This window comes from Homo sapiens, chromosome 10 (genome assembly GCF_000001405.40).
Source record: "Homo sapiens chromosome 10, GRCh38.p14 Primary Assembly".
Classification (NCBI taxonomy): domain Eukaryota; kingdom Metazoa; phylum Chordata; class Mammalia; order Primates; family Hominidae; genus Homo; species Homo sapiens.
Window position 1 is genome coordinate 69,368,857 of NC_000010.11, and position 23,709 is coordinate 69,392,565.

The 23,709-nt window shown below is 48.0% G+C and overlaps 1 protein-coding gene across 30 annotated transcripts in view, besides 4 other annotated features; it reads left to right on the forward strand.

Moving 5' to 3' along the window:
- The window catches only part of HK1 (hexokinase 1), a 131,883-nt gene that overhangs the window by 98,857 nt on the left and 9,317 nt on the right, over window positions 1-23,709 (forward strand). For 23 of the 30 annotated variants that reach the window (XM_047425137.1, XM_047425136.1, XM_024447969.2 and 20 more), the window contains 10 exons: window positions 381-480; window positions 585-768; window positions 8,078-8,233; window positions 11,006-11,239; window positions 13,631-13,935; window positions 15,477-15,625; window positions 15,940-16,059; window positions 17,467-17,562; window positions 20,341-20,440; window positions 23,269-23,452. In XM_047425137.1, coding sequence (XP_047281093.1) covers window positions 381-480; window positions 585-768; window positions 8,078-8,233; window positions 11,006-11,239; window positions 13,631-13,935; window positions 15,477-15,625; window positions 15,940-16,059; window positions 17,467-17,562; window positions 20,341-20,440; window positions 23,269-23,452 — 1,628 coding nt within the window. Of the gene's footprint in view, window positions 1-380; window positions 481-562; window positions 769-8,077; window positions 8,238-11,005; window positions 11,240-13,630; window positions 13,936-15,476; window positions 15,626-15,939; window positions 16,060-17,466; window positions 17,563-20,340; window positions 20,441-23,268; window positions 23,453-23,709 lie in introns of all 30 variants that reach the window. The other 7 variants (NM_001441152.1, NM_001441153.1, NM_001441139.1 and 4 more) reach the window with 7 other exon arrangements.
- Window positions 7,476-7,998: an enhancer, noted in NCBI's record as "H3K27ac-H3K4me1 hESC enhancer chr10:71136088-71136610 (GRCh37/hg19 assembly coordinates)". NCBI's record gives its function as "activates a minimal SCP1, AML or CMV promoter by ChIP-STARR-seq in primed H9 embryonic stem cells {active_cell/tissue: H9 hESC(primed)}" and the evidence as "EXISTENCE:reporter gene assay evidence [ECO:0000049][PMID:30033119]".
- Window positions 7,999-8,519: an enhancer, noted in NCBI's record as "H3K27ac-H3K4me1 hESC enhancer chr10:71136611-71137131 (GRCh37/hg19 assembly coordinates)". NCBI's record gives its function as "activates a minimal SCP1, AML or CMV promoter by ChIP-STARR-seq in naive and primed H9 embryonic stem cells {active_cell/tissue: H9 hESC(naive and primed)}" and the evidence as "EXISTENCE:reporter gene assay evidence [ECO:0000049][PMID:30033119]".
- Window positions 21,039-21,761: an enhancer, noted in NCBI's record as "H3K27ac-H3K4me1 hESC enhancer chr10:71149651-71150373 (GRCh37/hg19 assembly coordinates)". NCBI's record gives its function as "activates a minimal SCP1, AML or CMV promoter by ChIP-STARR-seq in primed H9 embryonic stem cells {active_cell/tissue: H9 hESC(primed)}" and the evidence as "EXISTENCE:reporter gene assay evidence [ECO:0000049][PMID:30033119]".
- Window positions 21,833-22,544: an enhancer, noted in NCBI's record as "H3K27ac hESC enhancer chr10:71150445-71151156 (GRCh37/hg19 assembly coordinates)". NCBI's record gives its function as "activates a minimal SCP1, AML or CMV promoter by ChIP-STARR-seq in primed H9 embryonic stem cells {active_cell/tissue: H9 hESC(primed)}" and the evidence as "EXISTENCE:reporter gene assay evidence [ECO:0000049][PMID:30033119]".

A 23,709-nucleotide genomic window follows, 5' to 3' on the forward strand; every position in this document is an offset into this window, starting at 1 on the left:
ACCTCCTGACAGGAGTGCTGGGCTATTCAGGGAGTGGGTGTCACGGATGCAGCCTGCTGTGCTTAGAACAAGGGCAGAGGAGCCCGCCTTATCGGGGACGTGGACCTCCTGTGGAGGTTTGCAGAGGAATGTAGCTCCATGAGTAAAATCCCCACTACCCAAAGACTCTTAAGCCAGGTAATTAAGGAAACTGTGAGGTTTTCATCATTTAATCACCATGCTCTGATCTAGTTAATTTGAGTACCAGCTGTAATGAAACCAGTACCACTCACAAAAGCAGGGGTTCTGAAAACGGGAGCACTTCTGCCAAGCGCTGTTAAGGTGTGTGATCTCTGCTCCCATGTGTGAGTGGACAATGACACCCCGTTATCTGTCCCCAGGACTATGATGCCAACATCGTAGCTGTGGTGAATGACACAGTGGGCACCATGATGACCTGTGGCTATGACGACCAGCACTGTGAAGTCGGCCTGATCATCGGTAATGCATTCCCCTTTGCCCATCCATTTGTTCGGCCCATCTTTCCAGGTGGCTCTGCACCCTCCCCGTTGTGTGGTCATAGCTTCTGATCTTGTCCTGCCCAGGCACTGGCACCAATGCTTGCTACATGGAGGAACTGAGGCACATTGATCTGGTGGAAGGAGACGAGGGGAGGATGTGTATCAATACAGAATGGGGAGCCTTTGGAGACGATGGATCATTAGAAGACATCCGGACAGAGTTTGACAGGGAGATAGACCGGGGATCCCTCAACCCTGGAAAACAGCTGTGAGTCCTTGACTTTTGCTTCTAACCACATATGTGAGTTAGGGGACATTTGATGAAAGATTTGGGATGGGAGATGAAAAGGGCATAAAGCCAAGTGATCACAAACAGAAAAGCCTGTCACATTTTTTTTTTGAGGCGGAGTCTTGCTCTGTCACCCAGGCTGGAGTGCAGTGGCTCAATCTCAGCTCATTGCAACCTCCACCTCCTGGGTTCAAGCGATTCTCCTGCCTTAGCCTCCAAGTAGCTGGGATTACAGGCATGCATCACCATGCCCAGCTAATTTTTGTATTTTTAGTAGAGACAGAGTTTCACCATGTTGGCCAGGCTGGTCTCAAACTCCTGACTTCAAGCGATCTGCCTGCCTCAGCCTCCCAAAATGCTGGGGTTACAGGCATGAGCCACCTAGCGCGGCCTAAAGCCCATCAAATTTGCATTATTTGTTGCTCCTTGTTTGGTGAGATGCACAGCTGTAGAGTCTGTAGCTGAAAAGCACCTTTAAAATAATCTTCTCTTTGTTTAATTACACTATGATTGTGTCCTTGTAAAACATCATGAAAACAAAAAGCACAGAGGCATTGATGCATCTTGGTGTGGGGCTCACAATGAACCCATCTGATGGGGAATGCGGCCAGAGTTGAGCAGGTACTGGTGGTCAGGGGAGGAGATCAAGAGGTGAATGGGAGCCCAGGAGCTCAGTAGCCCCTGAAAAAAAAAAATCCTCAAATTATCCCCTGCTGCATGAAAATTAATAAATATGAATGGTTCAAAAATGCTTCCCCAACAAAGCACAGGAAAGTTAGTGTAAATGTAAGGTTTAAAAAATATCTCTATGCTGTAGTCACGAGTGTTGCTGTTCATGGTAAGAGAGGCCAACATGGTATGTGGGGCATCTAAGGGAGATGAGTGTCCATTCATTCATCACATATTTATTGAGCACTTACTATGTGCTGAGCTCTGTGCTAGGCTCTGAGGATCCAAAACAGCACCTTCCCTCCCAAGACTTACAATCTAGATGGGGAGGTAGGGCAGACATGCAAATATCTGTTGTGCAGAGGAGTTGGGGTAAGAAGAGTATAAGTCATGTAGACGTTAGGGAGAATGGAGAAGCAACCTCCATTCTTACTATGGCAATCTCCGTATCTCCAATGTCAAGCATAAATAGACACACCAGAGTTGATAAAGAACAGAAGTAAGAGTGATATTATTCAGGTTAGAGTGGGTATTGCTTTCTCTGAGCCACTTATTTCCTGAAGTGCCTGCTCACATTTCTCTGTGATGCTGGCATGCTGCTAGCTCTCTCTGATCTACCCAGCCTCCCAGCAGCCTTATCCCAGAGTTGGATACTGTCAACCTACAGAGAGATGTTCACTGACTCTGTAGACCTAATAACCCTTATCCTGATGCTAGAGGGACAGGAATTTACTAGCCATATTGAAATGCATGACCCAAAAGATCTCAGTACTGCAGGGTGGACAGTTGGCCTTTCCACCTGAATTAATGGATTTTCATCAATGGCGAGCTCCCCACCAGTGGAGGTGGCAGCAGTGAATAAACTAGGTTTCTCAGTGAGGGAATTCCCAAGTTCTTACACCCAGAGTTGAGCATCACCATTGCAGGCTGAGACTGTGGTACCAGCTTGGTGACAAGGGACCCCAGTTCCAAAGCTCTGACAGTCAAAGGTTTTTTACCATACCCCCCCCCACCCCGCCCAATCCATTGACCCCACTGGCATGACATGAACTTATTACTGTGCCTATTTGTATGTTTCACTGAATAGCCCTGAATGTGCTTGATGGCAGTGCTGCCTCAGGCACCTCTGGAGGTATTCTGTGACACATGGCATGTATACCCTGTTGCATCTCTAAAATTCTCAAATCTCCACATTCCCAAGCACATGTGACCCCAAAGGGTTTCAGATAAGAGGTTATGTACCTGTAGTTACTATCAGTCACTTAATGAGAAGTCTCTTTTCTTAGAAGTGCAGGTGGGGCATGCCACTTGTGGTAACTCGACAGGTAATGCCCAGGCCCTTATCCTTGGTTCCCAGTTTGGGAACCCTGCATGGCTTGGGTGTAAACTTGGATCTCTCTGCTGTCCATTGATGTTTGCCTGAAATTTTCCAAAGAGATGAACTGTATCCCAAGGCTAAACTATAAACTGTGTTTACAGTTGGCTTGCAATAAATATTTTTGGGATGGATGGATGGATGGGTGGCTGATGATGGATGAGAGATGAGTGGGTGGCTAAATGGGGGTACAGATGAGAAAGTGAAAGGTTGGGGCAAAATCTCTTTTCTTGAATATGTTTCTCAGTTGTATTAGTCTGTTTTCACACTGCCTATAAAGACATACCCGTAACTGGGCAATTTACAAAAGAAAGAGGTTTAATAAACTTACAGTTCCATGTAGCTGGGGAAGCCTCATAATCATGGCACAAGTCATGTCTTACATGGATGGCAGCAGGCAAAGAGAAATTGTGCAGGGGAACTCCTCTTTATAAAACCATCAGGTCTTGTGAGACTTATTCAATATCACGAGAATTGCGTGGGAAAGACTTGCTTCCACGTTCAGTTATCTCCCACTGGGTCCCTCCCACTACAACATGGGAATTCAAGAAGAGATTTGGGTGGGGACACAGCCAAACCATATCACTAGTTTACTGCATACTGTAGGCCAGGTCTCATTGAGAACAATTCCAAGGAAATGACAAATTCCCAAGTTGCATCACATATTCCTGGAAATAGGCTGTAGGCTAAAGAGTTTTTTTGCCTAAGCAAATTTTTGCTGTGCCCCCAGGCTTCTATCTGAATCTTTGGATCTTCCCTATGTCGTTTTTCCATGGAATGCCTAGTTCTTGAAAGCCATTTTACCCTCTTTGTGGCAGGGAAAGACGTTTGCTCCATTTGACTGATGGGAAAATTATGGCCCTAGAATAGGACAGAGGTGACCCAAGACTCATTGTTGAGGTGTGGTCTGGTGTAGGTTTGGGGATTTTTGCCCTGTTTGAAGGTTTGAGGTTTTCAGAGTGAGCTTCCAGAATCTTTTCTCATTGGTAATCAGGGAGGATCTAGGGAAGTGATTTTTCATCTCTGAGTACATGTTAGAGTTACATAGCGGTCTTTTAAAAAAAATACTGATGTCCAGGCATCCTCTCACTAATGATTCAGTTGGCCTGGGTTGCCCAGTCCTCTGTATTGTAAAAGCTCCCTGGGCGATTCCAATTTTTAACCAGGGTTTTTTTTTTGTTGTTGTTGTTTTGTTTTTTGAGACAGTCTTGCTCTGTCACCCAGGCTGGAGTGCAATGGCGCAATCTCAGCTTACTGCAACCTTTGCCTCCCAGGTTCTACGTGATTCTCCTGCCTCAGCCTACCAAGTAGCTGGGATTACAGGCGTCTGCTGCCACGCCCAGCTAATTTTGTATTTTTAGTAGAGATGGGGTTTCACCATGTTAGCCAGGCTGGTCTCGAACTCCTGACCTCAGGTGATCCAGCCACCTTGGCCTCTCAAAGTTCTGGGATTACAGACGTGAGCCCCCGTGCCCAGCCATTAACCAGGTTTTAAAATCTCAGTGTGTTAGATTTGTGCAAAGGCTCTCAGTGCCCAAGTGGGCTCTAGACTACCAACAGCTACTCATTCCATTTGCTTTGATTGGAGTTAGCATTTAACTGAGTACCTACTGTATACAGTGGACAGGGAGGACATTGTCATAATAGCTATGTGGCTCCTGCCTTCATTGGTAGTTACTGCATTTGGGAGGCAGCAGAGGAACCTGCTTTGAGTGTTCAGGCCCCACCTTGCCCCAGAGCCAGAAGGTCTGTTTCTAAAAGGGATCAGTCTTTTGGTTTCCTTGTCTCGCCCTTATATTCCAGGCCTTTGATATTCTTGCCACATGCTTGTCTTATACTGTGGAGTTAGCCCCACCTTTTATATCATTTTTAATTCTCCTTCCCTTTTGTTTCCTTGAGGTTTTTTTTTTTTTTTCTTTGAGACAGGGTATCACTCTGTTGCCCAGGCTGGAGTGCAGTGATGTGATCTCAGCTCACTGCAGCCTTAAACTCCCAGGCTTAGGTGATCCTCCTGCCTCAGCCTCCTGAGTAGCTGGGACCACAGGCAGCAGTACCATGCCTGGCTAATTTTAAAATTTTTTTATAGAGACTGGGTCTCCCTATGTTGCCCAGCTGGTCTCGAACTCCTGGGCTCAGGTGATCCTCCTGCCTCAACCTCCCAGAGTGCTGGCATTACAGGTGTGAGCTACTGCACCCGGCCTGCTTGGGCTTCTTGCTCTTCTGCTCTTGCTCTGTGTTCTGCCTGGAATCTCTGGGATCTTGAATCCTTTTTCCCTGTGATTCCTTATCACATCCTTCAAAATGCAGAGCCCCCACCCCACACAACAACACAGCAACAGCAGTGACTGCAACAGCAAACGCTGGTGGTTGGTGTTCAGGAGAGCTCTTTGGCCTGGATGGTGGTTGAGTAACTGTGCGCCTTCAAGTCAGCACCCAGATGCCTTTTCTTTCTGTGGTTCTGCTGCTCCATGGAATCTCTCGGCAGCTCCGGTCCTGGTTTGCTTGGCCATGGGCCTCTGTCTCTTTTCTTTCCTTGGGCTTCTACCTGAAGCAGACCCAGGGTGCTGAGGGCTCCTCTTTGGTGTGCAGGTCCTTGCCCATGACTTCTCGTGGTTGATGATGCTCCCCTCCCCCATCTCAGCCCTTCCTGGGCCCACCAGCAGGCAGATTGGTTGGAACGCTGCCACGCCGCCTCTCACTGCCTGTCTGTGGTCGTAGGTGTCTGACTGCCGAGACACCTGGGCATTACCTGTTCAGTTATCACAAGGAAAAGGGCCCGGGCGTTACCCGTTCAGTTATCACAGGTGGCATGCCCTGAGAGGCAGATCATGACTTGCTCGATTTCATTAATTTCACTTGAGCAGATGGGAAGCACGCTGTTGGAACAGGAGCCGGTCTCCATGAGCCTTGGTTTGAACAGAGAGAAGCTCGTGAGAGGTGCTATTTGCTTGTTCTGCTGCTCTAACAGGGCCTTTAGGGACTGGGAAAGGACAGACCCTGGCCGTGGGCCTCTATCTGGAAAAGGGGGTATCACTATCCATGTGTGTAATAGGCCATGTAGAAAAGGGAGCAGATTGTTCTGGGCGTCTTTAGAAGGCAGAGTGAAAAGCAGCGGGCAGAGGGTGCCAGGAGGCTGATGTTAGCGCATCCTATGGGGAATGCCCTTTCTCTTGTCACACTGCCCAACAGGGAAGGCTGCCTAGGGAGGAGAACAGGCAGAGAAGCTGGGGTAGGGTGGTCCTAGGTGGCTGCTAGCATGATAGTGACAGCTAACATTGAGTGACACGGTCCATGAGACAGGCAGGAATGCACAGTGGTTAGGAGTACAACTTCTGGTGTTAGATCTAACTGGATTCAAAATGTGGATTGCCACTTGTTAGCCCTGTCCATGGGCAAGTTATATAACCTTTCTGTGCCTCTGTTTCCTCATCCGTGAAATGGGGATAATGCTAATGTCTCCCTCCTAGGGTTGTAATGAGGATGAAAAAAGTTAATACAGGTAAAGTGCTGGGAAAAGTGTCAGACACATAGGAAGGGCCACAGGCACTCATTGTTAGCCAGATATTGTAGCACTATCTGACCTATATTAACCCATATCCTCCATATAACCTTACAGGAAAGCAGTCAGTATCTCATTGCACAGGTAGGGAGGCCAGGGTGAGTAGCTCAGTAGTGGCTCTGCCAGGCCTCCACCAGTGCTGAGATTCCTGTTCAGGGCTACACAGAGGCTGTTCCCACAGGAGCCTGGGGTGGCACCAGACTTAGAAGGGCACTGTCCTGCCAGGGATCCTCTGCCTGGCTGCAGCCAGGCGGTCACGTCTGGTTCTGTCAGGAGCAGGAACAATGAGGACTGTGTTTTTAAGGAGGCTCTGTGCCCTGTGCTGATGGTTGAGGGCCGGGTGCTCAGGTCTCGGCAGCATCCTTGGCTTCTGGGCGGCTCTGGTTGGAACAGATTGTTTTGCTGTGTCACAGCCAGCTGTGGGTGTGCCAGCTGGGCTCCCGCAGAGGAGCGGCGGGCTGCTCTGATGTGCGCCCACCTCTTCAATCTGCCCTGCTCAGGGGTTCCTCCTGGCCCCTCGTCAGCCAGGATGTGGGGGCTGAATCTGGCTCACATATGGCATCGAGCCCTGGTTCTTGCCAGCTCCCGGCTGGGCCTTCAGCAATGCGTGTTGGCTTCTATCTCTACACCTGGCTGCCTCTCCCCTGCAGCATTGGGCTCATTCTGTCATTGGTCGGTGCTTGACCGGGGCTGGAGCTGTGCGGTGAGCTGATTGGCTGTCAGTATGCAGAGCCCAGCCCTGGAGTTTAGGGTAACATCAGTGGGGGAGGAGTGAGTTCCTCAAAGCAAATTCTTGATCCTTTTGGCCGGAGAAGGAGAAAATCATGCCAGGGAGGTGCCTAACAAATGTCCTGACAGCGGCCCCAGGGGGAGTGGCTGCCTTTCCCTCGGAGAAGCTGTTTACCCTTTCTGAGCTGGGAAATGGGGAGAATACTTCCTGGCCACCTCCTATCCACAGGGCTTGGGGTCTCCCATAGGAGTGGAGGTGAAAGTTCTTTGAAAAGTATAGCATACAAGCCAGGTGCTGTAGCTTGCATCTGGGAGGGTCGCTTGGGCCCATGAGTTCGAAACCAGCCTAGGCAGCATAAGGAGACTCCCCCTCTACAAAAATTTTTAAGAATTAGCTGGGCGTGGTGGTCTAGCTACTCAGGAGGCTGAGGTGGGAGGATGGCTTGAGCCCAGGAGGTTGAGGCTGCAGAGAGTCGAGATTGTGTCACTGCGCTCTAGCCTGGGCGACAGTGAGACCCTGTCTCAAAAAATAAATAAATAAGTAAATACATACATACGTACATACATAAAGATAAAAAATAAAAAGTATAGCATACAGTTTAGGAGGAGATTATCATATTTTGCACATTTCTATCTGGGGCCTTCTTGACATCTGCAATCTAAATCCAAACGCTCCCCCTGCCTTCAGGCAGCCTTCCCTGCCTGCTCCTGCCCATGGTGTTCTCCTAGTCACAGGCATGGGGTCTGGATGACTCCTGCCCTCTCCACAGTCGGCTTGGCTTCCGATCCCTCTCCCTCTGCTGTTCAGTCACTCAAGCACATGGTTTTGCCTGCCAGCGAGGCTGGGGGCTGGTGAGGGGTGAGTCGGGGCTTCCCATTCCTTTTATGTCTGTCCCAGCCCTCGTGTGTGGGGCGCAGAGGAAGGCTGACAAGTGCCGGTGTGCCTTTCTCCACAGGTTTGAGAAGATGGTCAGTGGCATGTACTTGGGAGAGCTGGTTCGACTGATCCTAGTCAAGATGGCCAAGGAGGGCCTCTTATTTGAAGGGCGGATCACCCCGGAGCTGCTCACCCGAGGGAAGTTTAACACCAGTGATGTGTCAGCCATCGAAAAGTAGGTACCATCCCCTCAAGGCTTTCTTGGGGTGTTGGGGCAGAGAAGAGCAATTGGTCCCTTGTTACTTCTTGAGTCCAAGTTTGGTGGCTTTTCCTTCAAGAGTGTCATGGCTTTCTGGGTCCGTGTCCTCTCACTCTTAGTTGACCCATTCTGGGCCGGACTCCCTGAAGGCACTTGTGGCGGTTCATTAAAGAATGACATAGTTAGCCTCAAGTGCACAGGTGATTTTCCTGTCTAGCTACAAGAGCAGCCTCCTCTCCCACCCCCATCAGCCCATCACCCCCACCCTCCACACACACTCAGGGTAAGATTAGCGTCCAGGAAGCAGACTATTCGAGCAAGGAGCAAGGAGCTGGTAAAGCCCGGAGCCTGGGTTTTTGGAATTCCACCTCCCACTTCCAGTCTGGAGACCTCCAGACTGTGCTGAGGGCACTAAGGGCACCCTAGTAACCTCAAGATGTTAATTAGGTGCTCCCTGAAAAAAGACTTCCTTGACCAATAGGATTGGGAATATGGCACATTTATCTTCCAGTTTACAATATTATGGTAAAATAAATACAGACTCACAGTAAAAAAGAATAAGAAGTATAAAGTATAAAAATACAGATTTATAGTATCATCAACACATTAAAGAAAACCCAGTTTGCTTTGACTTGTCATTTCCCAAACTTCTTTTGTGCTTGAAACCACCCCTTCCCTGCCACACACACATTCTTTCAGAGGAAACCTGTTAACAGCCAGAAATGTGCCCTGACGTGCAAGTTTGAGAAACACCGGTTAACAGATGAGACAGGACAGTTAGAAGGAAGGACAGAGCCAGCCAGCAACTAACTGTAGCCCCTTGGCATCACACAAGAAACCCGGGATTCTCTGTCTCCTTGTGAAGATTTGCATCAGCTCTCTTTGAGGTTAGAGAAGGCAGCTGCTGGAAGAGGAAAGGGGTTTATCTGGACCAACTCTTCTGCCAAATCCATGTGCTGGAGTTTGTTGTATGATCACTCTCCTGAGTTTCCAGCTGTCCCTTTTCATGAGTCTCCTGGTCAGTGGCTGGGAAGGAAGGGGAGCGGGAGACTCGTGGATTGTCTTGAAAATCACTGGCCAAGTCAGGAAATGCATGCCTTCCTCTTGGCCTGTTTCTGGTATTGACTCTTTGGTTACCAAGAAACACAAACCCAGCTAGCTCAAGAAAGCATGTATATTATAATAAAGGCTATCTCAAAAAAAAAAAAACTATAAAAACATCCTACAAGAGCAGATGTTAGAGGCATTCTCTAAAATCAGGAGCGAGACAGTATCACCAGTTTCTATTTGGCATCGTACTGGAGTCTTAGCCAGTGGGTTTTCGTTTTTGTTTTTGTTTTTAAAGAAAAGACGAGAGATAAATTAAAGGTATGAGAATCAAAAAAGAAGTGAAACTGTCATTATTTGCAAATGGTAAAAGTCTATATGGAATACCCCCAAAATATCTACAGACAAATGAATAGAATGACGGGAGAGGTTAAAAAGATGTCTGGATGGGGTTTCACCTTGTTGGCCAGGCTGGTCTCAAACTCCTGACCTCAGGTGACCCTCCCACTTTGGCCTCCCAAAGTGCTGGGATTACAGGTGTGAGCCACTGTGCCCAGCCCCCATCCTCTTCTATCATTTTTAAAATCTCTTCTCCCATCATAAAATTAATTTCTCTCATATTTTTTGGTCAGGTAGAATTGGGAAAGTCCCACACTCTCCTATTCTCGTATTACCTTAACATCCCAAGCTTCCTTTCCTTTTTTGGTCTTTATGAATATATTTATATGGACAGAATTAAGATAAACAAAATTGATTTCCCCATTCTCTCACTTCCCCATCTTGTCTTCCTAGACCCCACAGAGTTAAAACTTGGGACTCCCCCGACCCTCCCAGAACACTTGTATATTGTTTGTTTGAGGTTCGTGCCGCAGTAACAGACACAGTATTTGATTGCACATACAGATGTTTGCTGGGTATATTCACTGTACATTTTATTTAATCTGGTTTTTTGTTTGGGGGTTATTTGGGGCGAGGTTGGTTTTGTTTTTAAATATTAAAAAAAATCTGTCAAAAAAAGATGTCTGGAGATAAGATACAGAAGTCAACTGTATTTCTATCAGCAATAATAAAAATATGTACATATTTTAAAACACATTTTTAAGAATAATTTTAGATTTACAGGAAAGCTGCAAAGATAGAGTGTATGTATATGTGTTTGTGTGTATGTGTGAGTGTATATGTATGCCTGTATGTATACATATATATTTTAAAGGCACCATTTGCAGCAATAACAAAACTATAAAGTACTTCAGAATGAATCCAACAAAAGATACACAAAACACGTGTACAGAAAATTACAATTTCACTGAGAGACATCAAGGAAGGATGTATAAGCATCCAGGGGCAACTCACAGACCCCACGAGTGGGAGGTTCTCCTGAGCCTCATGAGCCCTGGGTGGTGGCAGCCATTTCGCCACCTGTTCAGAGGCCACATAGTCTTGCCTCTCCACTTCTCTTCATGGTCCTGGCTTGGCATAGTGCAACCTGGTACAGTTTTTCCTATCACTACCTGGCATTTCTTATGGAGGAGAACCCTTCCTGGGCTCTTCTCAGGCATTTGACAGTCTTCATCCCATACCATCCCATACCATCCCACACATGGTAAGTGGGGCTGTCCCTTTCCAGCACCTTTGAGCCTCAGTGCTTTGCACTGCCTCATGTGGTCCTCAGTGCATCAGTATTGGCTTCTAACTTCACAGGAATAAGGAAGGCCTCCACAATGCCAAAGAAATCCTGACCCGCCTGGGAGTGGAGCCGTCCGATGATGACTGTGTCTCAGTCCAGCACGTTTGCACCATTGTCTCATTTCGCTCAGCCAACTTGGTGGCTGCCACACTGGGCGCCATCTTGAACCGCCTGCGTGATAACAAGGGCACACCCAGGCTGCGGACCACGGTTGGTGTCGACGGATCTCTTTACAAGACGCACCCACAGTGAGTCTGCCCTTTGCTATCATTGGCACTCTGTACCCATTGTGGGTAGGGACCTTCTCCAGAGATCAGACTTTTGTACCCGGTAAACGTTTTTCGGCAGACAAGACAATGGTGGTCGGGGGCTGTGGCTCATGCCTGTAATCTTAGCACTTTGAGAGGCCGAGGCAGGAGGAAGGAGTTTGAGAACAGCCTGGGCAACATAGTAAGACCTCATCTTTACGAAAAATTGAAAATAAATAAATAGATAAATAACATGCTTAGTTCTGGGCATAAGGTCAGCGTCGCCCCCTTGGGAAGTATCGCCCTTAGTCGATTCTTGCTGGTATTGCTTCTGCACTCTGTCGTTACCTCGCCCTGTCAAAAGTCGAGATGGAGATTTCTGTAGCTGTCGGCTCCTCTGGGTGGAATGTGTCTGTCTCTCGTCCGCATTTCATCAGGAGGACCTTGGGTCATAGGTGTGGTACCCACATTCTTGTTTCAGAAGCTCCTGTTAAAACCCCCCAAACCCTCAGACTTTACTTTTTTAAATGGGCAGCTTGTCTGTGCTTGGCCTCTGAGAGCTGGAGCTGCAGGAGCTGTAAGTTGTCCCCATTGGCAAGGAGGTGCTTTGTTCCCCACACAGCCTTCTGGTCTGTCAGTGGCCCCAGCCAGTCCTCATGCCATCTCACCTTAGTTTTAGAAGCCATGTTGTCCTGTGAGAACGTGGCTTATACTTTTTTTAAAAGGCTAAAGGGAAATTCTAAGTCATTATTTAATAAGTTTTAATGCTAGCCTGTGACATGATTGTTTTGCACAGGACCTCAGAGTTGTTTCCCACTGTACATATAAATACAATGTGCATGTGAAGCACCCATGTCAGTACTGCACCTTCACACCCAGTTCTGTTGATGGCTCAAAGAATGTCGACTTCAATTGAAATAGTTCTGGCCTGGCATGGCAGCTCACACTTGTAATCCCAGCACTTTGGGAGGCTGAGGCAGGTGGATTGCTTGAGCCCAGGAGTTCGAGACCAGCCTGGGCAATGTGGCTCTACAAAAAATCATACACAGCTGGGTGTGGTGGTGTGCCTATAATCCCAGTTACTTGGGAGGCTGAGGTGGGAGGATCACTTGAGCATGGGGGTGCAGAGGTTGCAGTGACCTGATGTGCCTCTACACTCCAGCCTGGGGGACAGAATGAGCTCCTGTCTCAAAAAAAGAAAGAGAGAGAAATAGTTTTGTGTTGCTGAGGGGATAGGGTTTGAGCCAAGGACGTAATTGTATTTTTAAAATATTTTTAAAGTATTTGCAAAAATCTTGATAATGAAACTTTTATTAGCCATTTCTTTCTTTTTTCTTTGTAATTTCTTGGCTAATTTTTTGGACAAGAAAGCCTAGGGATTTGCAGCATCACATTAGAATTTTTTTAGATTGTGGTAAAATACACATAACATGAAGTATATCATCTTAACCTTTTTTTTTTTTTTTTTTTGAAGGCAGGGTCTTGCCCTGTTGCCCAGGCTGGAGTGGAGCGGAGTGGTGTGCTCTCAGCTCACTGCAACCTCTGCCTCCCAGGTTCCAGCAATTCTCCTGCCTCAGCCTCCCGAGTAGCTGGAATTACAGGCATCTGCCACCATACCCAGCTAATTTTTGTATTTTTAGTAGAGACGGGGTTTCACCATGTTGGCCAGACTGGTCTTGAACTCCTGACCTCAGGTGATCCACCTGCCTTGGCCTCCCAAAGTACTGGGATTACAGGCATGAGCCACCTCGCACTTGGCCCCATCTGACTTTTGAACACCGTGCTTTTGACCACTGTGCTGTATTATCTTCCTGTCATGGTGGAGGGCAAAATCTTTTTAGACCTGGAATTTTTTGTATGTGATACTCATGTAATAATGAGAGTCTTCTCTTTTTATGTGTGATTATGAACGATTTCATTTTTCCTTTTTACCTCTCTGCATTTGCTAACTTTTCTACAGTGGATGTATATGATTTGTGTAATGAAAAAAGCAGGTGCAGAAAATGGAATTAGGCTGGGCACAGTGGCCCATGCCTGTAATCCCAGCACTTGGGAAGCTGAGGCGGGTGGATAGCTTGAACCTAGAAGTTTGAGACCAGCCTGGGCAACATGGCGAAACCCTGTCTCTACTAAAAATACAAAAAAGTTAGCCGGGCGTGGCCCCAGCTACTCGGGAGGCTAAGGTGGGAGGATCACCTGAACCTGGGAGGTTGAGGCAGCAGTGAGCTGTGATTGTGCCATTGCACTCCAGCCTGGGTGACAGAGCAAGACCCTGTCTCAAAAAAAAGGAAAAGAAAAAAGAGTTAAAGAGTGGAGAAAGAAAGGGTGGCCGGAGGTCCCCAATAAATGCTCAGTCCAGCTGTTGTGGAATGTCCCCCCTGCCCCCATAAGGTATTCCCGGCGTTTCCACAAGACTCTAAGGCGCTTGGTGCCAGACTCCGATGTGCGCTTCCTCCTCTCGGAGAGTGGCAGCGGCAAGGGGGCTGCCATGGTGACGGCGGTGGCCTACCGCTTGGCCGAGCAGCACCGGCAGATAGAGGAGACCCTGGCTCATTTCCACCTCACCAAGGACATGCTGCTGGAGGTGAAGAAGAGGATGCGGGCCGAGATGGAGCTGGGGCTGAGGAAGCAGACGCACAACAATGCCGTGGTTAAGATGCTGCCCTCCTTCGTCCGGAGAACTCCCGACGGGACCGGTGAGGGCCTGCTGGGGGCTGACATGCCTGTCCTGCTCCTGCCAGGAACTGAGCCGCAGTGGGGGAGGTTGGATTCGCCAGTGGATGCCTTCACACTGGTGATGCACGATTTTGCCAGAGCTAGAAACTCCCTCACATCTCTGTTTTCCATTTTTATTAACTGATTTGTCATGTGTGTGACTCAGGGCAGTTTAATTTTCCTGGTCAGACCTCCCAGGCAAGTGCTATCTCTAAAACCACAGCCCTGCTCAGAACAGTGCTCTTAGCTGGGCAAGGTGACACACGCCTGTCATCCAGCTACTTAAGAGGCTGAGGTGGGAGGACTGCTTGAGCCCAGGAGTTCAAGACCAGTCTGGGCAACATAGCAAGACCCTGTCTCAAAAAAAATTAAATGAATAAAAAAGAAGTGTTCTTAAAAGCTGGGCAAATCCCACAGCACTGATTAGGTTTTCCCAAAGCCAAGGAAAGCCAGCAGAAGGATAAACACTCAGTGTACCCTTCTTAAATCTTGATAGAGTATGCATGAGGCATTCAGGGCCTGGGGAGTTTCGCATTCAGGCAAATTGTAGAACAAAATCCAACCCTTTATGCTAACCTTGGTAGTTTTCACTGGAGCTGATCATTATGGGGAATCTGAAGAGCTTTTCAGGTGGGTCCTTGGAGTAACGAATGTTTGTGACAGGAATGTGTCCTATGTGTAAGTTACCTAATACCACATTATAAGCCACCCTCACACTTAGTGGCTTAAAACAACCACGCTTTATTATTGTTCATGCATCTGTGGGTCAGTTGGACAGTTCTGCTCATCAGGGCCAGGATTGGCTGACCTCTGCCGGCCTCATTCCTGCATCTGCAGTCAGCTGTTGAGTCAGCTGGGAGGCAGATCTCAGACGCCCTTCCCCACATGTCCAGCAGTTGGCTGTCAGCTGGGGTGCAGGGGCCCCTGGCCCTGTGTCTCATCCTTCAGTGGGCCACCTGGCTGTTCAAGTGGTGGCAGCAAGGGCTGCGAGGGAGAGGGGAAGACTTCAAAGCCTCCTGGAAGCCCAGGCTGGGGATAGGTTCAGCTTTGCCTCTGCCACACTCTGTTGGCCTGAACAATCCTAGGGCTGGGCTAGATCCCAGGGGAGGAGAAATTGACTCCATGTTTCAGTGGGAGGAACTGCAGTCATGTTGCAAAGAAGGATTTTGCACATGCAGGGAAGGGAATGATGCAGCTGTTTTTGCAAATACCCCACACCTTGACATAAATTATTATTTTTTGTAGGAGATTTTCATTGTTGCAGCCCTGGTGAAGTCTGTGTATTGTGACAGGTGGTTTACTCACATGCTCTCCTCCCAGTGTGGCTCCAAGTCTGTGGTGGTCAGAGATGTGGTGCCCACTCTTCCTCTGAGTCTGTGCTGTGTCCTAAAGGGAGGAGTTGCAGCTTCTCCTCTATGTTTGCTATGGGGTTCTCCCCTTGAAAGTCTGGAGTCTTGGGGTTACTGGCTGCCAAGAGGCACTTAGCTGTTTTTGACATTCTTTACGCTTTTGACTGCAACAGAGAATGGTGACTTCTTGGCCCTGGATCTTGGAGGAACCAATTTCCGTGTGCTGCTGGTGAAAATCCGTAGTGGGAAAAAGAGAACGGTGGAAATGCACAACAAGATCTACGCCATTCCTATTGAAATCATGCAGGGCACTGGGGAAGAGGTGAGATTACAAAACCATAGTGCATGTGCACTGCACACACGGCCAGTGGCACCGGCAGTCACGTGATGACCAAAATCCGCCACGGGGTGCCCACATGGATTTGTGTCCTTGTGGCCCAGAAGCACCAGATGCTTTTTGCCATGCCTGGCTTGTGACACTCTGGTGGCTGAGAAGATTCTGGAAAAGGAGGCTCACTCTGCATGTGTGTGGGGTGTGTTTTCCTACGTGTGTGTGTGTATACACACTTTGGTCCATGTGCACTGATAAAATTAAAACCACAGAGAGCACGGGCGATCCTTTCTTTTCCCCTGCAGCTGTTTGATCACATTGTCTCCTGCATCTCTGACTTCTTGGACTACATGGGGATCAAAGGCCCCAGGATGCCTCTGGGCTTCACGTTCTCATTTCCCTGCCAGCAGACGAGTCTGGACGCGGTGAGTCTCTGTTCTTAGGGCTCAGTGATCGGGCAGCACTGAGTCCCCTGTGGCCTGGGTGGGCTGGCCCTTGAGGCCTTCTCCAGCCTCAGTGTCATTCCTAGATGACAGTCACAGTCACAGTGGGTTGAGCCAGGCTTTATTTCACAGCCTGCAGGGCATACTGAGACTCTTCTCTCTTCTTTTCTCTTTGAAAGCGTCACCTTTTCTGGGAAACCTTCTGGTCCTCCAAGCAAAAAAAGAACCTCATCCTCTTCTGTGCCCCCTGTTCATTTGATTGTTGCCTTGCTTATAACACTTCTTACACAGTTAGTTCTTAGTGTCTTTTGTTTCTGCTAGTGGTAGACTCCGTGAGCAAGGACCTGTATCCCTGCACGCCCTAGCACAGTGTCCAATCAGAGGAGATAATAAATGTTTGTTCAATATATGAGATGAATCAGGGTCCAGGATCAGAGCTTGAGCACCTGCTGACTACTGATTGGCTGGGCTCAGAGCTGAAGGTTACAGCTCCTGTCCTTTGGAAGGCCACAGTCTAGTGGGGGAGCCGAGTCCCTAACACCAGCAGCTCCAGCTCCATGCTGTCAGGGCTGGGGAGTGGATTCTGGGCAGAAGGAACCAATGGTGCAGAGTCACGGAGGCAAGACCCAGCCTGTCACGCTGGAAGAGCTGTAGGTAGCTCTGGGTGTCACAGGTGGAGACGTGACCAGGCAGGAGTTCTGGAGGTGGGTCTTAGGCCAGGGTTTAAGGCTTAATGAGCAGCCCTAGGAGAGTTAGGTAGGGTCACCTACCTCTGTAAACCAGTTAATCCAGTTACATCGCTGACTTGGGACTTTTTTCTTCTGAAACCCTTTTAGAGCTCAGGAGTTAGATCTGTTTGTTTGTTTTTAAAGCATTTCACTTATACCTTCACCTTGGATTCATCATAGTCAACACACACCCAGTGTACTTTCTTCCCCAGGAAGTGTTTTAACTTCAATCCAGTGAAAGCTAAAATGTACTTTAGGTAGACACAGTATTACTAAACTCTTAGGATCCTTCAGTTATAGTGTCAGTAGACTCTTCTGTACAGCTGGTTATGCCAGTGGCAGCACCAGGCTTGGAATCGGGTGATCTGGGCTCTTGTCCAGTATTGAGTGCCGTCTTTGCCGTCTGCTGAGTGAACTTAGACATTGCTATTTACCTAATGTGCCTCATGCTCCATCTGTGAAGTGGGATTATTTCAAACCCCTATGAGGATGGTGAGGAGGGTCTATTCATATTTTATTGGTTTGTCCTCAGATGTTTGAACTCCGTCTCCGATGTTGTAAGCCCTCAGCAGTTGTTGACTCAGGAGGGAGGGTTGGAATTTTGTGTTCTCCCCTTCCAGGTTAATTACACAGGACTCTCCTGGTGCTTTTTATGTTGTAGGGAATCTTGATCACGTGGACAAAGGGTTTTAAGGCAACAGACTGCGTGGGCCACGATGTAGTCACCTTACTAAGGGATGCGATAAAAAGGAGAGAGGTAACTATTAAAAGAATGTTTTTTAAAATCTTTACTGTTTTAGGGGCTTCTAAAAAGTGTATTTGCCTGTTGTAAAGAATTCAGGCCAGGCGTGGTGGCTCACGCCTGTAATCCCAGCACTTTGGGAGGCCGAGGCGGGTGGATCATGAGGTCAGGAGTTCTAGACCAGCCCGGGCAATATGGTGAAACCCTGTCTCTACTAAAGTTACACAAATTAGCCAGGCGTGGTGGTGCGCACCTGTAGTCCCAGCTACTCGGGAGACTGAGGCAGAAGAATCGCTTCAACCCAGGAGGAGGTTGCAGTGAGCTGAGATCACGCCACTGCACTACAGCCTGGGCGACAGAGCAAGACTCCATCTCTAAATAAATAAATAAATAAATAAATAATACATAAAAAAGAATTCTAACAATACAGAAGTATGTGACCTGGCCAAGAAAAGCTCCCTATTTCCTGACTCCACTGCCCGCAATAAAATAAGGGCTCATAGGTTTGTGTTGTTAAAAGATTATTATTATTTTTTTTTTAGAAAGGCAAATCATGACTCTCATACAAATTGAAAAAGAGAGAAGCAGCCCCTGACAGGTGGGCACAGCCTGGCACTCTCAGTTAGGCCTTGGTGTTCTCCTGTGGAACACAAACAATTTCACAGAGTCCACAAACAATTGCAGAGCAGAAACATCAGACACAGCCACTCCGTCCGGGACCATGATGGATTTAGACAAGAATAAGACCAGTCTGTAACCATAGAATTGCCCCTGGTTCCTGACAATATCCAATCCAGAGCAAAGCCCCACTTCTTTAAACCTTCCCCCAAACCACAACACAGACACAGATCCAAATTAAACTTTTTTAAAAAAAATTTTTAGAATTTTAAAGTTTCCTTTTTTGAGACAGGGTCTTACTCTGTCACCCAGGCTGGAGTGCAGTGGAGCAATCTTGGCTCACTGCAACCTCTGCCTCCCAGGCTCAAGCGATCCTCCCGCTTCAGCCTCCCTAGTAGCTGGGATTACAGGTGGGCATCTACATCTGGCTAATTTTTGTGTTTTTGGTAAAGATGGTGTTTTGCCATGCTGCTCAGGCTGGTCTCCAACTCCTGGGCTCAAGCAATCTGCTCGCCTTGGCCTCCAAAGTGTTGGGGTTTTTAAATAGAGGTGGGGTCTTGCTATGTTACCCATGCTGGTCTTGAACTCCTGGGCTCCAGTGATCCTCCTGCCTCACCCTCCCAAAGTGTTAGGATTCCAAGCATGGGCCACCACACCAAGCCACTTTCCAAGATGCCCCCGGGGTGTGTTCTCCAGTGTTGCAATGAGTCAGTAAAGCCCAACTTTGTTAGATTACAGGTGTGTTTCTCGTGGTCTTTGGCTGGAGGACATTGAAAAAATATAAAATGAAAAATTCCCAAGATTTAATTTAACTCATTAATTAATGAGGGAGTCAGTAAGAGACTGTTTTAAATTTTTTTTTTGACTTTTTTTCAAATCCCATTACACTGAGCAAAGTAAGAACTTTAAAAAACAAAACAAAACAAAACAGAACACTTCAAATAACAGTCTAAAGAGCAGACAGATACCTGGGCACTAGGCTGTCAGGGAAGCTGAAATGAGTGTCTGAAAGAGGGCTGATTTGTCTGCTGTCTTTTGCAGTTAAATAGAAAAAAAACAAAAAGGGCTGAGTTGCATCTGGAAGGGTATGCTACACAACTTACAATATTTCATTGAAAATATAGCTGCGGGTTGGGTGCAGTGACTCACACCTGTAGCCAAGGCAGGAGGAACTTTGGGAGGCCAAGGCAGGAGGAACGCTTGAGCCCAGGAGTTGGAGACCAGCCTGGGTAACGTAGTAAGACCCCGTCTCTATAAGAAATTAAAAAATAAAAAATTAGCCGTCATAGTGGTGCACAACCTGTGGTCCCACCTACTGAGGAGGCTGAGGTGGGCGGATTACTTGAGCTTAGGAGGTTGAGTCTGCAGTGAGCCGTGGTTGCGGTAGTACACTCCAGCCTGGGTGACAGAGCAAGACTCTGTCTCTTAAATAAGAAAGGATACCTGCTGATCTATTTTTGCCTGCTTCACAACTATTAGTGTTAATTCTTCTAGCTTGCTTTCCATGCATATGCCAACACACACACACACACTCACTTAAAAATAGGAATTATACCATATATACAACATGACAAATTGCTTTTTTGATTTAATATGAAACAGGTATCCTTCCTCATCATTGCATTTAGATCAACCTCATTCTTTTTCCTGGCTGCGTAGGATTCCAGCATGTGTCTGAATTGCCTTTTACATAGCCCATTTGATCTTCACTTGGATTGTTTCCTCTTTCTGACTATTGCATGTCATGCAGTAAATATCCTTGTATGTGTGCGTTTGTGCACCTGCAGACTATTTCTCAAGGACAGATTCTGAGCAGTGAGTTTAATATTTTCCATTTTGCCCTCTGAAAGGCCATAATGCTTTAAACTCCAAAGGGAAGAAGCTATTTGACCATTGCCCCTTGTCTCTCCTATTCTATGATTCCTCTAATAGTATCATCATCTGTAAAATGGGTAGAATACTTTCCCTTCCTTAGATCTCATGTTTCAGATATATCCTTAATAGCAGGGGTTTAGTCTGTGAAGGAACATTCATTACCTTTTTGTAGGCTGGTAAGAAAACCATCTTAGATGATGACCAGTGGCTCTCTGACTGCAGTGCAACAGACAGAACCGGCAGCATTCAAGCCAGGCATAGTGATCCTATTCCTAAAGCTGTGTCCCTTTCTTTGCAAAGGAATTTGACCTGGACGTGGTGGCTGTGGTCAACGACACAGTGGGCACCATGATGACCTGTGCTTATGAGGAGCCCACCTGTGAGGTTGGACTCATTGTTGGTGAGTGTCCTGGAAGGTCTCTTTCCCTGCAGAAGGGAAGGCTGGGGTTTCCCCGTTTTGTGGGGCCTTGGCCCAGCAGCTTGGTCCTCTGTATGGGGTAGTCTTATCTGTCAGTATCATTTCTTGACCAGCTCCAGAGTTCAGGGCTGGACGAAGGCAGCAGAGTCTCTGGCGGGGGGAGGTGGGGGGGCCTTTCTTAAGACACCCATAATGCTACACATTGCTTATGATCAGACTGTCAAGAACTGAACTCTTCAGGAATGAGGACCCAAAAGGCTCACTTGGCTTGAGTGGAGACAGGTACCTGGAGCGGGCCTGGCAAACATGGCAGCTCTATGGGCCTTGTATGGAGGGGCTCTGGTCAGGTATTGCAGGGGGATGGGGTGGGGAGGGAGTCTGCGGCTGGAAAGGAAGTAGAGAGCACCTCCCATGCTGACCACACTTAGAGCATGGAAAGGGGCAGGATGGTCTTGGGCACCATTTTGCCTTTAGCAGCCACTGTGTGCGCATGGTCCCAGCCACTGAAGGGGGTTGCAGAGGGGTTGTCTCTGCAGCTCGTTGCCTTGTAATCCAAAACACATTAGGGGTCTGGGCCTCGAGCACATAATTCCTGAAGCATATTGATTTGGGCTATGAGGAAACCATTTGTCCTGCTGGCCCTGCTCCTCGCGTCAGGGGATGCTGGGAAAGACCCCAGGGAGTTTCTTAGCCAACATCTGCGGACTCTGCCTGGTGAGTGAGCAGTGGCACCCCTGCTACTGGATCAGTTGCTGAGTGTCTAGAGCTTGGGAAGAGGCCCCAGCAGGCTGCCTTCCAGGTGCCAGGAAGAACTTTTCATTCATTGTTAAGCCACTTTTCGCTTCTGTTGAAATTTTAAAAAACCTAGGGAGCAGCTGCTGGTGAAAAGGTTGTTTGGGGCCTGGCTTTCTCCACCCAGCCCCTCCCTTTCTTTCCATGAATGGGCTTGGGTATGAAATGCAAAGCTAGAGTGACACAGCAGCTCTCCTCCTCCTGCAGGCCCCACCTTCCCTCCTGGGAGGTCAGGCCCGCCCGTTTCCTGGCACCAGGCTCCAGCTACATTTCATAGCTACTTCATAGCTACTTTTTCTTTCCTCCATCAATTGATCTCTTTGCTCAGGACTCCCATAGGCAAGATGTATGGTTTCCATGTTTTGGCTTTCTTTGCATCTCCCACTCCCATCATCTTCCGTTTCTGGAGCTCCTCTTCTCTCAGTTTTAACCTTGGGTGAAAAGGGGGCTGAGAAAACAAAGAACAAAAATCATCCAACTGTACAGTCTTTGAACTCTACTTAAGTTTCTTCAAAGGGGATGAAAACTACCAAAGCCCTTTTGGTCTGGCCAGGGGGTGTGTCTTGTGCCCTCCCGATGAAAGTTCACCTACATCCCACCCTGGATGGGTGGATGGTGCTCCTGGGCGCATCATTAGCATCATCCTGGGAGCTTGTTAGAGATGCAGGCTCTCAGGTCCTGGCCCTAGCCTCTTGAATCTGGATCTGCTTCTTAGGGTCCCCAGGTGATCCAGGTGCATATTAAAGTATGTGTGTGAAGCACTCTTCCTGGGTTAGTTGATTGGTTTTTAAATGTCCAGTCTATTCAGTGAGGCAAGTTCAGTGACCACAAGCTTGGATATCATGGCAATTAAAATTGCTGTGAAAGTTGCAGGATGCTTGCCTTCAGTTTCTTAGCTCCTCATGGGCTGGAACAGCAAACAGTCGGTGGTCCTTCTATTTTGAGTGACTCTGCTCTAGGGAGTTCAGGAATGGAAGTCAGAGATTCCTGAGCCCCTGGCAAGCATATGTCAGGTTGCATGTGTGCGGTGTGTGGGTCCACCCAGAGAAAGGTGCCTTTTTCACAGAAGAATCCTCTGATCTTCAAAGGTCTGATACAAAAATGATGAAAAACCATTGCTTTTGAAAGCCCCCCTTGAAATGCTGAAGACACTGTCCTGCCCTGAACTGTGGGCTTCATCCCAAGGTATGTAGGAAAGCTTATTGAGCAGGCATAGTCCACGACCAACCATCCTTGTCGAGAAAAGATAAGTGGGGCTGGGCGTGGTGCCCACGCCTGTAATCCCAGCACTTTGTGAGGCTGAGGCGAGAGGGTAGCTCGAGCCCAGGAATTTGAGATGAACCTAGGCAACATGGCAAAACCCTATCTCTACTAAAAATTTTAAAAAATTAGCCAGGCATGATGGTGGTGCCTGTAGTCCAGCCACTTGGAAGGCTGAGGTGGGAAAATCACTTGAGCCCTGGAGGCGGAGGTTGCAGTGAGCCAAGATTGCGCCGCTGCACTCCAGCCTGGGTGACAGAGCCAGACCCTGTCTTGAAGAAAAGAAAAAGAAAATAAGTGAATATCTATGGTATGATAGAAGATAATCCCCTAATATTTTATACACATATATATAGGCATGTATATATTGTATATTCATGTGTGCATGATGTTGTGTGTGTACGTATATATTTCTTCTTCTGGTCTGAATGTTGCCTAAACCTCTACCATTGATGCTCCATCTCTTTGCTATAAAGCCATCTTCTATTAAAATAAACATAACCCTGCCTGGACGGGTGAACACATTGGCTCTTGGTTGAAAGTCAGCTAAGCAGGTGCCCTCTGGGTGATGTGGCTCAGACTCTCCATTTACATTTCAAATTTTTCCATTTCAAAATTGGGAAAGAAAAACTATTACTTTGTTCATCACAAAAAACGTGCCCCCTGCCTGTGGAACCTCAGGCCCCAGACCCCAGGCCCAGTTGCAAGACCCCCAAATGCAAGGCCACCGCTCCTCATTGCCCCCTCGTGTGTTCCAGGGACCGGCAGCAATGCCTGCTACATGGAGGAGATGAAGAACGTGGAGATGGTGGAGGGGGACCAGGGGCAGATGTGCATCAACATGGAGTGGGGGGCCTTTGGGGACAACGGGTGTCTGGATGATATCAGGACACACTACGACAGACTGGTGGACGAATATTCCCTAAATGCTGGGAAACAAAGGTAACCCCGCCTGGTGGAGAGGACACTCACAGTCAGGGTGGGGGCAGCACTTGGCTGCATTCTGCCACTTGCAGTGGAAGAAGTTTCTAGGAGGAGAGGTCTGAACAGAGGTTTCAAGACTGGACCCCCTGGCTCACTCCTGACCTTTGTCTTTTGGACAGCAGAGAACCAGGGAGGACAGACCCCCAACATGGTACAAGATGGCCCAGGGTTGATGCCTGTCTAGGGGCTGCCTGTGACTGTTTTTTAGCCTGGAG